This window comes from Homo sapiens, chromosome 2 (assembly GCF_000001405.40).
Source record: "Homo sapiens chromosome 2, GRCh38.p14 Primary Assembly".
Lineage (NCBI taxonomy): Eukaryota > Metazoa > Chordata > Mammalia > Primates > Hominidae > Homo > Homo sapiens.
The window spans coordinates 214,435,076-214,451,601 of record NC_000002.12 but is presented as its reverse complement, the minus strand read 5'-3'; the positions used below and the strand labels follow the sequence as shown (position 1 = coordinate 214,451,601).

The following is a 16,526-nucleotide window of genomic DNA, read 5'->3' as shown; positions in this document are numbered from 1 at the left end:
AAAAAATGCCATGAGCCTTAAGAATAGCCCTTCTTGGCAGCTTAACCTGAATACTATCTCCCTGGTATCTCCCACCTATTTCCACTTCTAGGCCCTGAAGGACTTGCCTTTGCCCCTACTGAGATTTAGCATTCATAGATCTTCTCCAACCCAGGTGGCTTTGCTTTGACTCCTGGGCATTTTGGGGTCTGACCCTTCCTTTCCAGCCTTATCTTTCTTCTTATCTTAGTAGAACATTCTCACAGGTAGTCATTGGATGACAATTATTTCAGCTTTTACTGCCCCCCCCCCCCACACCGACCCACTTATCCTTCCTTAGGAAGGATTTTTAGAATGAATTTCTTAATATTAGCACCTAAAAAGAAGTATATATTCCTTGATCTTTGAGCAACAGAATTTCTGGAGGCCTTGTTAAGACATAGAATGCGGGTCCCAGTCCCAAATTTTCTGATTGAAAAAATCTAGAATGGGTTCAGAAATTTGCATTTTTAACTAGCTTCTACCTAATACTGATGCTGCTGGTCTGGGACTACGCTTTAGGAACTACTGATTAAGAACGCAGGCTTTGAAATTTGATGGAGTGTGGTTCAAAACTCAGCAATCTAAGGGCAATTTACTTATTTTAGCTCAGCTTCAGCTTCCTCCTCCACAAATTAGTAATTATAATTATTTCCCCTTTATAGGACTGTTGTAAAGGTTAAACATGTTAATGCTTTCAAGCACCTAAACATATCAGGGCTTAATAAACAAGAGCCAGTGTTACTCTTAGTAGTTATATTAATCATCATTAGACCAGCCATTGAGAAAACATGTGAAAAGGGCAACCATTCCCCTCAGCAGGTGTCATCAACAGAGACCTTTTTCCATCCCACTCTCCCAGCACCTGTTGCCCCCTGACTCATCCTACAGGCATCTCTCCCAGGAGCCCTCTATTCCCTGGGTTAGGATTCTCCTGCTGTCTCCCTGTCATCCAGGGTTTGCTCTTCCCCATATTCCAACTAATTGGGTCCATATTTTATGACCTAGTTATACGATTAACACAAGAATGCACCACATTAGGAAAATATATGTAACTAAACTGATGTGTTTAATACCTGATGTTTCAACTCTTTCCCTCAAATTTTTAGTAACATTCATTATGCAAATTTTAGAAGGGAAAGGAATTGGAGTGTGAGAGTATTTTGGAATCCACATGGGTGCTTAGACACATACTGTGATAGGCTAGAAGGGTCACCATAGTGATGGGTTGAACAGCTTTTCTGTCCCTCTCTGATGACACTGCCTAGGGGGCTGATTACTTCACTCAGCTGAGACCTGACTCTTGCACTTACTGTAAGTACAAGAATTCAATGTAGATTTTGCCGTCAGCCTGCAGGAGTTCTGGCTTGAAAGGCTCACGTGCTTTCCTCTTCACTGCAGACTTCCTCCTGGGTTCCTTGTCATTGTCATCTTTCCCCATTCGCAAAGGAGTCATCACATCTAATCCAAAGACATCAATAACCCTACACCTTAAACACATGAATCAGTGCCCAGTGCCCTGCATCTTGCCCCTATTTCAAACCCTAACACAGAAAGTTGGAGCAGGAGGCTTTCAAAATTTGGACGCAACACTGCCAACTATCTAATTATTTAACAACATGGGAAAGTAACCGAGCTTAGCCTTCCAGAAGGCAGATATATTGCATTAGGGACCTTTCTGCAAAACATATGAAAGTAATGGGTAAAAGGAAGGAAAGACTCGGGGCTGGCTAGTTATCCACCCTGACAAACAGTAGCATTTATGGCTGCTCTTTTCTATCACCTTGTACAAATGAAGCACATGTAAGCAAAATAAGTATGTATGCAGGAACTTCCTATTTCCCCTTTCTCAATTGAGGGGTATCCAACCATAAATATATTTCAAAAGAGGTTTAACATTTCTGATAGATTGATTTGAAGCAGCTCAGAGCTACATTTAAATATCAGAGGTCTCGCTGCAAGGGCTTCCTGCCACTGCCACAGCAATTCTTGGAGGATTTCCCAATCACTGTGTGTCAAAAGAGGTATTGGTTGCAAGTTTCCTTTGTTTGCGTTTTATGCCATATTTCTGACTTATTTTTAAGTCACATAATGTGATATCTAGAATTAACTATTATCTCCTACAATCAATTTTTTCTCCCACTGCTCTGATATCAAGGCACATTTTCTTTGTTTCTTGTCTTCACATTAAATTCTGTTGATTTTACCAAAATGTTTCAAATCACATATTTCATCAATGCTCATGGCTTTGTAACCTCTTAAAAAGTCCAATCAACCCCCTATGCTATGTTATCTGAGATGGACAGAAAAGCTGCTCAATACTTCTAGCCTACCACAGTGTATATCTAGGTATCCACACACATTCAAAAATACTCTCACACTCTCAATCCCTTTCCCTTCTACAATTTTCATAATGAATGCCACTAAACATTTGAGGGAAATAGCTGGGACATCAGGTATTAAACACACCAGTTTAGTTACTTATATTTTCCCAAGGTGGAGCATTTTGGGGTTAATCAGATGACTGAGTCATAAAATATGGCCCCAATTAGTTGGAATGTGGGGAAGAGCAAACCTTGGATGACGGGAACAGCAGGAGGGTCCTGGCCCATAGAGGAGAAGACATCTGGGATAGGTGCCTGTAGGATGACTCAGAGGGCATTGAGTGCTGGGAGAATAGGATGGAAAGGGGTGTTTGCTGATGGTACCTTCTAAGGGAACAGCTGCCCTTTTCACATGTTTTCTCAATGGCTGGTCTAATGATGATAATTAATGTAACTACTAAGTAACACTAGCTCTTGTTTATTAAGCCCTGGTATGTTTCAGGTGTTTTGCAGACATTAACATACTTTATCTTTAGAATTTGATAAATCATTGAGAATGATACTGGGTAATGTATAACATTAATTTTGCACTAAAGCGACCCACACATTACATGAAGTCTGTTCTTAATAAACAGGAGCTTTAGGTATCCATGGTGAGATTATGAAACAGTAAAAGTTCAAGCTAGACTTGGTTTCCCCTGGCAATCCGTCTGTCTTTTCTAGATCATCTGGCTCTGCCTCCTATCAGTTAATATGTGCAGGCTAATCTTAGTGGGAAACAAAACCAAACTTAATTATAAAAGTAATCTTCTGAGAAGCACCTTCCTTCCCACCACCAAAAGCATCCTAGACTCTCCATGTGAAAGTTATTCTGTATGAAATAGAAAACATACATTTCAAAAGGTAATTTAAAATAACTCAAAGAATCAGACTTCTTATTTAATTACAGCTATATTGAAGATACAATATGGGTGTGTGTGGATTCATTTATTCACAAACATATATATTTGCATCTACAATGTGTTGTACATAGTAAGAATACAACTGTGAACAAAATAGATAGAAATCTTTGCTTTCATGGGGTTTACCCCTGTGTCCTGAGGAGGGGAGACCAGTAAGTCAATAGGTAAAGTAGTTGTTTATGTGGCAGTAGGTATGGTGGAGAACAATAAAGCAGCAAAATGGACTCGTCAGTGGTGATTTGGGTTGTTAACTCATAGCTCATAGAACCACATGGGGATCACAGTCCAGGGTTTGAGGGATACCCTGGTGGTTCTGGGCTTCTGGTGGGGTCTGAGACAAGCAGGGAAAAAGGGCATCATGAGATCAGTCCTAAGATTTCCAAGCCAGGCAGTGAGGGTAAGACAGTGACTGCTGGGAAAGGAGGGGTTGGGATCTTTTCAGGACCACCCAGCATCCTTCTTCAACAATGACGTGGAGATGCAAGAGCCCAAGAAGGTTTAGACGGAGGGAATCTGGGACTCTGTGCCCGAGGAATCTGAACATTAGAGTCTCTTGTTCCAGATGTGTAAAACTTCTGAGGAAGATAGAGGGATAACCTTCTAGAGGCCTTCTAGGCTCATCTTGCCTGAACTCTTTTGAAGGCATTTACATTTAAGGATGAAGAACACACCACAGCTTTGTTTTTATTTTTGTCAGCCTGCACAAAGGTTACACAAAACCAGTTCAGGGTATGGTGGTGGGGTGGTAGGGCGCGGTTGGCTCTGGGATTCCAACTCCCTGAAAAGCTTAGGGTATTATATCCCAGTGCTGATGTGAAGTGAAGAAGTGAATGTAACTTCCTAGCATGTCTACATCAGAGAGTAGGTTTAGATGAAGTTAGACTGTGTACCTTAATTTGTGCCTTCAGTGTGAGCAGTTACCACTTGATCTCTGGGTACCTCTGAGAGATACATGGATGTCTGGGCTCTGTGAAGAAGAGCTTGGGGGTCACTGTGGACTGGAGACTCACCACTCCTGAGACTGAGGAGTTGTATTGCACCTTCAATGAGGCTCTCCCGTAGCCAGTGGTTTGAACCTCTCTGGAGAGATATCATTTCTAGGTATTCATGAATCTTGGCAACAGCGAATGCCTTCACTTCCCAGTCAGACCCCACCCCATTTAATTCTGAAACTATATCCAACTCCCAAGGTGATCCCAGTTTCCCAGTTTCTACCATGCACACTTCACAGAGGTAGTTTATTAGAGAGTCTGTCTACAATCCTAGAAATCAGGAATATTCTATAAAAACCGTAAATGAAGAGAGGTTCAAGAATGAGACAGGAACGAGGTTTAAGAATAGTTTTCAGGGATACACTCAGCAGTATGCCTAGCTACTGTTTTTGAGTCCGATTATCTCCAAGATTATATGAATGTTTATGAAAAAAAATTCCATATGTATGTGTTCAACACCCTTCCATCAGTCTCTCAAGCGTCCTGCAGAATGGGGTACTGAACATTAAAGTATTGCATACCACTTGAAGCAGTGCATGCAACTTCCTAATGTGTCTGTTTTCAAGGGAAAAAATGTATGTTTTGTGGGGGGACTGGACTCAACATTTCAAACATTTACTTAGGGAAAAAATAGTCCCCAAGTATTTTCCATATCTTAAGTGAGAAACACAGAAAACATTCAAAATTTTGCACGTTAGCCTTCCTTTCTGCATTTTCTTGAAGACCAGGTAGCCCTAATAATTCTAGAAGCGATATGATTAGCAGGAAATGAACATGGCATTAATTTTTATTGTGTCAACATTGTAAAATAATACTTCTAAAATCTAATTTGCTGATGAATTAAGAGGGAATCCTGTTGGTATAAGAGAATATAAACATAAATATTTTCTTTCATATTTTGGAGGAAGCTTTATGAAAGAAATAGGAAATTATTGTTTGTGGCTCATTAAAATAGCTATTTATAACTATTCTGTTTTGACATCTACTTTATAAGAATATGATAATTCTGACCTTCAGTTGTAGAGATGCAGACTTTGAAACTGCCTTTCATAGGACATGCTTGCATCATGAACTGCTTCAGGGGCTCTGCAGCCAACATATGTGTGCAGCTGCCAGAAAATGTTTCATGTTCAGTGTGTTTGTTTCATGTCTGTTATGCTTATCACTAATTGTCTACCTAAAAAGAAGTGAGAACATATTAAATTAAGGTGGACAATTTGCACCCAATTCTCAAATTTAAAAAGCTGGTTTTTCACGTAGTTTCATAAAAATGTAAATGGATATACTTAAGTGAATATTTTAGCAATTTCCCTAATAGATGCATAAAATGGTCAATGAGGCTTTCTAAATGCTTTGAAAAGAATCTCATAGTTAAAGGTGTTGAAAAGTCAAGTGGTAGAAATTATTAGTTGGTTAATTAGTTGATAGAGTACAAATTTTAATAAGAAGTCATAGTATAATTTCTCATAAGGAACATGCTATTGTTTTTTTTAGTAAAAGAAAAAATTATATCATCTTGGTTATAAATTTTATTTTCTTTTTTAATAGTAATTTTAAATCACAAGGATAATATATACTTGTTGCAGGACATTTAGAAAATACAGGTTTGTCAAAGGAAGAAAATAAAAATTATCTATTAGCATATAAAGTTATCATATCATATAGAGTTAAGCAGTACTAATATTCTGAAGTATTTCCTTCTAGTCTTTTTCCTATACATGTATTTTCTTTTTAGTAAAAATAGGGTCTCTCTATATATGACCTATAAATATGTATATATGTACATACATACATACACACATATATGTACATACATGTATAGTTTCTGGCTCATTAGTTTAATATTGTAAACATATTTGTGAGGGAAATGCTTTTTTTTTCTATAATATTACTTAAAATGCTTTCTTAGTAGTTCATATGGATATACTGTGGTTTCTTTAACCAGTCACTTTATTCTTAAATATTTAGGTTTCAGTTTTTCCAAATTGTTGCTATTATCAAACAACTTTATAACAACTATATCCATATACACCATTTAAAATTCTTCTCTCATTATTTTTGATCAATTTTTTAAAGTGTCATTGCTGCATTAAAGGTCCATACATTTTTACTACCCTTCAGAGAGCATATATCATTTACACTCTTACCAGTAGTGTGTGAGAATGCTTGTTACATTTTACCTTTCCTAAATTAGATGCTATCTTATTTATATTTGTTTATTTTTTTTAACCTAACTACTCAACATGATAGCAATCTTCTTTTAATATATGAAAAAACTTACAGATGAAATTATATGTTACCCATACATTTTTTCTTTTAGAAACTATTTGCTTTTATGTTTAGGAAGAGCTTCCCTATTCTCAGAACAAGTTAATATTTACAGTATTTTCAACATACCGTTATGATTTGATTTTTTAGATTTAGAATTTTAATCCAACTTAAATTTATTTTTATCTTTTTATATAATCGGTAAGGTAGCAATGTAACTTCACTTTCAAAAAATGAACTTTTCTAGACCAATACATCTTTCATCAGATATTTGGATGTCACCTTAATTGTGTACTAAATTGTAATACACACATGGGTTACTTTTTTACTTTCTAGTCACTTCTGTTTATTTCTGTTCCAATAGCACATTGGTTAAAATTACATCTTTATATATTAATACAGCTGGTAGGTTGAATTTTCCAATGCCCCAAATGCATTTTTTCATGTATTTAACATTTTCACAAGAAATGTTTATTTTGTCAACTTATTTAAAAAGTTACATCCCATAGAAAATTGTATAGAATTTCCATTTAATTTATTGTTAGATAACCTAATAAATTTGAGTTTTTACATTTAGAAACCTGGTTTGTTTCCTTATTATTTTTAATAGGTTTTAATAAACTTTGTGGCTTTTGTAAAATATGTATCCCCCCAAATTAATGTTTATTCATTTTCTCTGGAATGTCTTTTGAAGTTTTTGGCCCATTTTAAAGATAGAGTCATTGATCTTTTTAAAACAATCAATTTCTAAGAGCTCTTTCTATATGAGAATTATGGGATAAAGTAGGTATTAAATTTTTTTTCTGATAACTATCCAGTTTCCCAGCACAGTTTGTTCTACAAACCTGCTTTCTCCCATTGATTTGAAGTACAACTTCATTGCATACCAAATTTTCATATGTAGTTAGGACTGTTAAACTTTCTATTATATTTTATTGATACCTCTGCATCATTCACTAGTGCCAAATTTTTCTTTTAATACATATATGTGTTATTTTATATATGTATATGTGTATATATAAATGTTTTGACATCTGCACGTTCATTTTGTACCGTTATCTTACTAAATTCTCTTGCTTATAGTAGTTTTTGTCAATTTTCTTGGGGCTTTCAAGAATGCAATCACATATCATCTGCAAATAGTGACCTTTTTTACCTCCTTCTTTCCAATTTTCCTCCCTTGAATTCTCTTTTCTAATTACATTAGCTAGTATGTATGTATTCATCTATCTATGTATCTGAAATGTAAGATGATAGTAGACATCCTTGTCTATTCCTGACTTTATCGGGAATTTCTTTAGTGTTTACCTACCAAACATAACTCCGGCCTTTTAGGCTGAGGTAGATATATTTTTATCATGTAAAAATTGTCCACTTCAGTCTTGTTTTATCAAGAATATTTGTCATTACTTTTTGCTTTTTCATGTACAATGTCATTTTATAGAAATAACATGCTCTTTCTCCTCAAATGACTAACAAGGCAAATTATACTAACGGGGTTCCTAATATTGAACTATCTTTGCAGACCCCTAGTAAATCCCATTTGGTTAGGTTGCATAATTATTTTGATCTGCTGCTAGCTTCTGTTTGCTAACAAAATATACAATGCCTTTCTGACAATCTCTGAAAATCCAGGTTTTTTTTTTGTTTTTTTGTTTTTGTTTTTGAGATGGAGTCTTGCTCTGTCACTCAGGCTGTAGTGCAAGGGCGTGATCTCAGCTCACTGCAACCTCTGCCTCCCAAGTTGAAGCAATTCTTCTGCCTCAGCCTCCTGAGTAGCTGGGATTACAGGCACACACCACAGACAGCTTTTTTTGTTGTTGTAGCTACAGGGTTTCACCATGCTGGCCAGGCTGGTCTCCAATTCCTGACCTTGTGATCTGCCGGCTACAGCTTCCCAATGTGCTGGGATTATAGGTGAGAGCCACCACGCCCGGCCTTTTCATGACTTCGATACAAAAACTCAGGTGAGATTAAACCCTAACCTGAGATGATATTAGACTCTTCATTATTTTTATTCAGTCTCCTTAGTATCATTATTACATATTTTGTTGCAGAAATATTCACGTAATTGATTGAAGAATGCTTTCCTAGACCACTAGTAATATGTTATACAATATATGAACTGCATTTCCTCTGTAAAATCTAGAACTCAGGGATTTAGATCAAGGATTTTGTAATGGTATTTTATTTAAGATTTCCCCATTAATAATCATAAGCAATGTAGCTTTTTAGCTTCATTTTTTTAGTTTGCAATCTTTGGTTTGTATCAATTTATATACCATTTTAAAAAAGAAAGCTTTTTTCTTGCCTTTTCTCTAGAAAAATTTCAATAAAATTAGGATTATTTTTTCTTCAAATGTTTGATAAAATATTTTAAATTATAAATATAGATTTGTAAAAATTATTTAATAAAGAGTCCTGTGAAATAAAATATCAAAGTTCTCTGCTTCTAGATTCTTACTTCCACTTCTTACTTCCTGTTCTGATCACTGGGTACTGTTAAAAATTTGGTGTGTATTCTTTCAGAACTTTTATCAATGCAACATGCAAAAATAAAAAGGGGTTTAAAAATAATCTAATTTGATTTTTTAGTGAGATAATAATTTTTGTATTTTGTGAAACTTTGTATTTTGTATGTGAACTACCTGTTCACATCTATTGTTTTTGTTAATTTGTAAATATTTAATGTTTTAAAGACTTTAGCTCTTTTCTCTACCTTCTCACTTCTGCCTAAAAGAATCATTATTAACATTCTATTATGTAGCCACTTAACTTTTTTCGTATACACATACAAACTCAATATCTATTTAAAATGATATCTTATTGTCCGGGCACAGTGGCTCACGCCTGTAATCCCAGCGCTTTGGGAGGCCGAGGCAGGCGGATCACAATGTCAGGAGTTCGAGACCAGTCTGGCCAACACAGTGAAACCCCGTCTCTACTAAAAATACAAAAATTAGCCGGGTGTGGTGGCGGGCACCTATAATCCCAGCTACTTGGGAGGCTGAGGCAGGACAATCACTTGAACCCAGGATGCGGAGGTTGCAGTGAGCTGAGATTGTGCCACTGCACTCCAGCCTGAGTGACAGAACTAGACTTCATCTCAAAAAAAAAAAAAGGTATCTTATTTAAAATAAAAATCTTATTTTATTATAAGATACATATTTTATTTTAAATTATATAACATAAAATGTACACATTAGATATGTAGTATACATTATATTACATACAAAATGATATGTATTCTTCTAAACAGTTTTTGCTTTATTTTACATGGCAGTAAAAAATATCAGTAGTCTTTTAAAAGGCTGTTATATATTTAATTATCCCAGTGAAGAATTATTAGGTTTTCTCCCAACTTTTCACTCTCAAAATGGGGTGAAAATTTTGTATGTGAATGTGGGAAAAAGTACAAAAGGTGAAACTGCTGACTTTGAGGGATACAAACATTTTGAAAGAAAGTGTCTTTTAAAAAGTTTATAACATTTTCTCCACTCTTTCTTAACTCTTCTCAATACTTTTGCTGATATGAGGCACCATCAATCCCACATTATCATCAATAAAAAATTGACATCCCATTGTTTTAATTTCTATCTCCTTATCCATTTGGTGATTATTATATATTTTTTATATATTTATTAGACAATTCATTTTCTTATGTAAATTTCCTTTATTTGCTCTTTGCCCATTTCCTTCCCTGCAGAATCGTTTTCCTTTCTTATTTATTTTAAGGAGCTCTTTGTGTATTAGATATATTAACAATTTTATTTGGCAAATATGTTCTCCCAAGGACCTTTAGAAGGTATTGGATGCCTGTGAAGTCCCTTCTCTTTCTTATTGTGCATGGCTCATCCCCTCTGTTGTCCTCTTGTTTTCTATTAATATTTGCCCCTTTGCCTAGTTTATTTTCTGCCCATTTGCATCACTACTAAACTAGAAGAGAGTGAGGGACATAGAATTAAATATTTGAACAGGGCTTGTGACAACTTTAATTTAGTTGAAAGGAACTGAAAACTTAATGTGTGTACAGGATTTTGTGGGAGCGTTCTGTCTTTTCAAATTTTTCATGGGGTAACATTTCCTTCTGAGCCTTGAATAATGACTGACTGTGTATTCCAGTGAAAACACAGAACTCACTGACAAACCAGCTAATGAAATGTAAAAAATGCAGTCTGTCATTTGGATGCTCCAATGATCAAATGTTTTGATAACTGACTACATATTTTATTTTTTAATGCAGATGTTCAGCATTCTATAAATATGGATTCTTAATGACTTGGGACAAAAATATTAGAATGTATGAACAACTGAAGAATGGAATGAGTGGCTGCAGAGCAAGAGTTTGAAATTAATATTAATTCACATACAAAAATAAACGATAGGTATTTTTAGCTATATATATAAAATATATACATATAGCCACATTACTAGTCAAATTTATGGTCAGTTTCCAATGTTTGAAATATTGCCGTGACATTCCAAACCATAATGTTTTCTTTAAACAGATGCTGTGCTAAATTATTTTTTTCATACCATAAAAACAAAAATCCATAAAGAGTGCTCATTAATTCACATGGAAAGGCCTGGGGCTGAAAGATAGGTCAAAGTAACACAATCTCAGGGAAAGAAAAACAGTCTGAAAATGTCATATTTTTCAGGAAGGCATTTGTATTGCTAGTTCTTGGAGCTGTGTAAAGGAAAGAGAAATAAATGCTTAATAATATTTTTAGAAACAATAAATTCCTATGTCAATCCCCCCAATTCTCACCAAATAAAAATTACTCTCATCTTTTTCCTCCTATTATGTGTCTTACATAGACTCTGTCCAGTCATTCATATCTTTCCTTAGTGTTTTTATTTTATTCAGGCTAAATCGATAGACTGTTCTTGGTACTGAACTAATTTTAATGTGAATAGATTACTGTTGGGTATAGTCATTGACAACCATTGAAAATCTTGTTTATGGTAATCACTGAGACAAGAAAATTTAAAACTCTCTTCTTTACACAATTAAATTCCTGGAAATATATGTTCTTAAACTTATTCTTAAAATTATATTATCAAGAATAAAGACATGGTACCATTGTTTAGGGAGTAGATTACCCTGCACTTTATAATATTAAAATATTTATTTCCAAAGATAATTGTTTATTTTCATTGGTAAACAGTTTTACGGAAAAACTACATACATATTGTTATCTTTCTTTGTTTTGTTTGCTCTTAAATAATATCAAAACAAATATTTCTATATTAGCTTAATGTTGAGTTATAAGGTTAGGTGTGATGGATTCCATCACATTCAAAAGTTTATATCTTTAATATAAAGTTTAAATCATATTTTAAAAGTTTTATAACTTTAATGCCTCATGCTTTTGGCAAGTTGTAATTCAGGAAGGCAGAAAAATCAATTTTAATATGAAAAACCAAAGTATTTGACAGCCAAGATAATAAGCATTTATGCAAACTGAAAATTACTTGCCCGCCAAAATAACCATTTATGAAGATTTAAGAAAATGTAGAAAATGTTATGACTGTTTATAGGTTAGAATTAGTTGCATCTACCTTGAATCCATAGTATATATTTTTAGCTTATTGTTGCTTTTTAAAAATCTATGACATAGCAACTATATTTAAAATAGTTTATACTATAATGGGCATATTTATTATGGTTATAGTTAATAACCATATATAATGAGATAGACTTAAATCATGTGTTGGAAACTTAAGTTATTCCAGTTATACTGTCATAATAAACATTTATTTTTCCTCCATGTCTTCTATATATCATTCATCTGTTTCTGTTTTCTGGGCTAGGCTTAGAATGAGAGCCAACAAAACCTGGGACTCAGTCTGTCTTCTCAATAAAATTATTGGTACCACTGGTGGTCATACGTGTCTTCATTGGTTCTTGATATACTCTTCTTTGGCAATGATTATACTTTAGTTTTGGGGCATATGTGACTAACTAGCGGCATTTAATAACAAAAAGATAACATCTCATAATGTTACATTACAATCAGTCCTTCCACTAATTTAAATTCAGATTCATTTCCCTTATTTAAGAAAAGAAAATTTGTTTGGAAGTACCAAGAGGGAACAGAAGTGGCCATTTCATAGTGCTTCATGATTTAAAAAATATCAGAAAACTTAACATACCTTGTGTACTTAGCATCTGTTTATCAGAAATACTAGTGGTTACTAATTAATTAACTGATTGAACAAGTAAAGTCTATTCATTATACACTTTTGTAAAAAGAGGATTTCATTTGGAGAAAAATTTCTACTCTGACATGGTTGAGAGAAATAGGATAATCTTGGGCGACATCAAATTAAGTGTAACTAGTTTGTAGTGGCTGATTTAACATATGACATAGACATTAACTCTGGGTATATTATGGGCTTTAGTGTAGGGTCGCTAGAAGGATGTGATAGATGCATGTGTAAAAACTGTTTTAAACGTATGCTTTACATGTTCTAATTCTATGAATATGCTGGATGTGTCTAGACAAGAAATTTTAACTATAACCATAATTGTGAGACAAAGCTAAAAGTAAGACAAAGCTAACCAGAGCCATGTGGGGAAGGCAAGAGCCTCAAGGACTTGTTTAGACAGTTGCTTCCAGGGGAAAAAAAGAAAAAAAAAAGTGCAGTCTTCAGTCCAAGACCTGTCAATCCAGTTTTTAAAGATTGATTAGGTAGTTGAGTTTTTCTTCCTTTTATCCTTGGAGAAAATGAAAAATAATACTTTCTCTTCTACTTTAGACTCACCATTCATATATTTTATGACAGTTTGGTCTCACCTGAGCCTTTCTTCTCTAGGACAAATTATGCTAACTCTTTCTGTCTGTCCTCATAGGTCCTATTTTTCAACCACTAAATCCTCTTATTGTTCTTTCTTGTATCTTTTCCAGTTTCTTCAGTCCCTTTAAAATTTTAAAGTCTTAAATTTAATATATTTGCATATATTTATTTTTGATGAGTTAGAACTTCAGGAGCGTTATTTCTTTCTGCTAAGTGAGAGAGTGGTCACTATGACAGGTAGATTGGAGAAAGGAGATAAGAAGAAAAAGAGGAGCGAGATGAGCAACTTAATATTCAAGTTAATCGATTTATATGATCAGAAATAGCAAAACGTGTATCTGGAAAATGTCACAAAGGTTTTTAATAAGTCCTTTGGAAGATACCAAAACACAAAAAAATTATTATCAGAAATAACCAGAGCTACTTAAAAAATCTTTTAAAAATATTTTTTTATCTTTTATAAAAGGTAAAAGATATCTTTATGCTTATTTTTACTAATTACCCTTCTGTAAAGGAAAAGATTAGTAGGTGAGCTCCAAATTCAGAGCAAAAAATAATAGAGAAAGATGGCCATTGCCAACTCAAGAAAAGGCATAGGAATTCAGCATAAGAGTGAGCTTATCTTAATTAGGGGCTAGAACCACTTTTTCCAGCAGATATTAATGACAGAACATTTGTGGAATGTGGCCTAGTAAAGAATTATTTTTTCCTTTTTGGTAGTACATGGTCATAAGGCAAAGTGCGCTATTGGCTTTGTTGATGCGCTATCTTGGGTTTATAGCATTGCATTGTCTTCTCTGCAGCATCATGTTGATTTTGGGTGATTAGGATATTATAGTTGGTTCAACCTCTCCATTCCATGAGGGACAAAAAGGAACCTATAATGTCGTAAATAAAACAAGTTGCTCTCTATAGCAGTTACTGTGAGAGCACAGTTCCACTGTAATAAAAACCTACAATAAAGGCCCTAAACTTTTTAATCTTTATTACTTCAATTTAAGTGCAATGCTAATTTTATTTAATATTTCTTGAATTTTATATTTAACTTTAAACCTAAGGTCTTATCTACATTCAAAACAAAATACCTGGCATTTACCCTACCCTATATCCTGGGTCATACACCACAAAATGGGGTGAACTGCTTCATTGGCTCTACAAAAGAGAGGAATGCAGTCACTACAAAAGGATGGTACTGTGTTCTTTCCAATATACTCCTTTTAAATCAACACGAAATAATAGGGATCACAACGAAGTCAGCTTACAACAGCTTTAATTCCCCAGATGGAAAGCTGCACAATAAACCCACTGCAGGTTTATTTTCACTTTAAGATGGGATAAAAATATACATCCGCCATGCCCATATTGAAAAGCCACAGGCAGATCTTAGAGGGGTCTTGCATTGAATGGTATGCAGTAGTGAAATATTTGTATTTTGTGCGAACCCCTCTTCAAAAGCTAATGCAGTGTGGTCTTACCATTTTTGCAGACAGGACAACATTGTTCTGGTTCATAGACTGGGTTGACACACTCAGGAACTGCGCAGTCTGCTACAACACAGTGAACTTCATTGCTGGGCTCACAGCGACACCATTCACATGGAGAGGGCTAGGAACAAATCTAAAATTAGCCCCTTTTCTCCTATAACTTAATGCTTGCACATTCATATGCTGTCAGAAGACAAAACATCAGTGCTTATTATATTGGCTTTACTGTATTAATTCCATTTACCATGTCTACGATCATTCTCCCTTGGTGGAAGGCAAGTTAGACACCCAAGTCACAGTGGATTACAACCTGCACTCAGGTTGCTGTGAACAAGAAAAGCACCCGTGTATGACTTTTCCTATATCTTATGTTCCTACTTTCCAGAGAAATATTTGCATAACTAATATGTCATCTCCTGGTTTGTTTTCCAGATGTACTGATTGCTCTGACCTCCTCTCGTAAACAGGCATTCTACTGGAACGTGTAAGATAATTTTTGCCATCTGTCATTTTCTTCTTCTTGAGAAAGGAGGAGAATTACTGAGAAACAAGAAAATGGTAAGTGGACATCTGTACCCTTTGTATGAACTCTTTTTCAAGCCAACTTAGACTCTAAATGGCATTTTTTTTTTCAATGTGAATATTAGAGAAGATTGCATTTGGGAACCAAACATCCAGGTACTGCCTCTTGAAAGATGTAGTGAATACCTTTCATCTTGCCTGCTTGCTTTTATGAATGAACAAATCGACTGGCCTAAAAAGCCACTATTTAAGAGTCAAAAACTCTAAAAATGGAACTAAAAATGATAATTAAGAGAAAAAAATTAAACATCAGAAAAGAACATTTGTCTTTGCAGTACTTACCGGCCGAGAGTGTTTAGAATTTTCTATTTCCTTTCTAGAAACTGCCTATGGCACAAATAATCTAAAGCAGGGGCCACCCTCTGACTTTCTCATCCTTTGTAAGTTCTAGCTCTACTTTTCTCATGGAACAGCAGTTTAAAATTCTGGAATGAAAATTTGGTGGTGTCAGAAGTCATACAATGTCCACATTTCTCAAATCAAGCCATTTGTTCTTAGAAAGCTCTGCCTCCAATCTGAAGCCACAGATTCTTACCTGCAAACTGTGCTAATTAAAGCCCTCTTCCCTTGTTTCAGTGACTACTGTCCAAAACCCTTGTCAGCTCTTATTTCTTCCCTGGATCTGACAATCTGTGTAATATCAGTGCTTCTCAACTCAGACAGTCTATAGTGGAAACCCTTCAACTAATTATTTTAAAAATTCATTTTGTCTTTGCTTTTTGCTTGGAGAATGACAGCCTAACTTTAAATTACTTTGCTTTCAAATTTAGTATGAACAAAACAATTAGCCATGGGATCTGTGGTAAAGTATGGCTATTTGTTAACATGATCAATGGCATTTTTGAAGGGTACAGTTAAACTCTTTACCATGTGGTGAGTTGTGTTTAAACATTTCAGAGAAATCTATTGCATTCTCAAGGGTTGAGATTTTTCTGATGCTTTTCTGCTAAATAATCTCAGCAAATTAAGAAAAAGATTAGAACGTACAGTACATTATTTAATGGAGAAAATTAGCAAATAAGAGATGGAAACTCTTGTTGCTCTTTTGCTCCTTATTTTGCAAACCTCATCGTGATATCTAAAATTCCCAAG

General features: G+C 34.7%; 1 protein-coding gene across 3 annotated transcripts in view; it reads right to left on the bottom strand.

Annotated features, from left to right (window-relative positions):
* VWC2L (von Willebrand factor C domain containing 2 like) overlaps positions 1-16,526 on the bottom strand; it is a 167,923-nt gene that overhangs the window by 127,375 nt on the left and 24,022 nt on the right. For 2 of the 3 annotated variants that reach the window (NR_159945.1, NM_001080500.4), the window contains exon 3: positions 14,844-14,973. The exons of the other annotated variant lie outside the window; for it this stretch is intronic. Coding sequence is in view for 1 of the 2 variants with exons in the window: in NM_001080500.4 (NP_001073969.1) it covers positions 14,844-14,973 (130 nt within the window). In the remaining variant the exon portion in view is untranslated. The remainder of the gene's footprint in view (positions 1-14,843; positions 14,974-16,526) is intronic. 3 annotated transcript variants of the gene reach the window in all.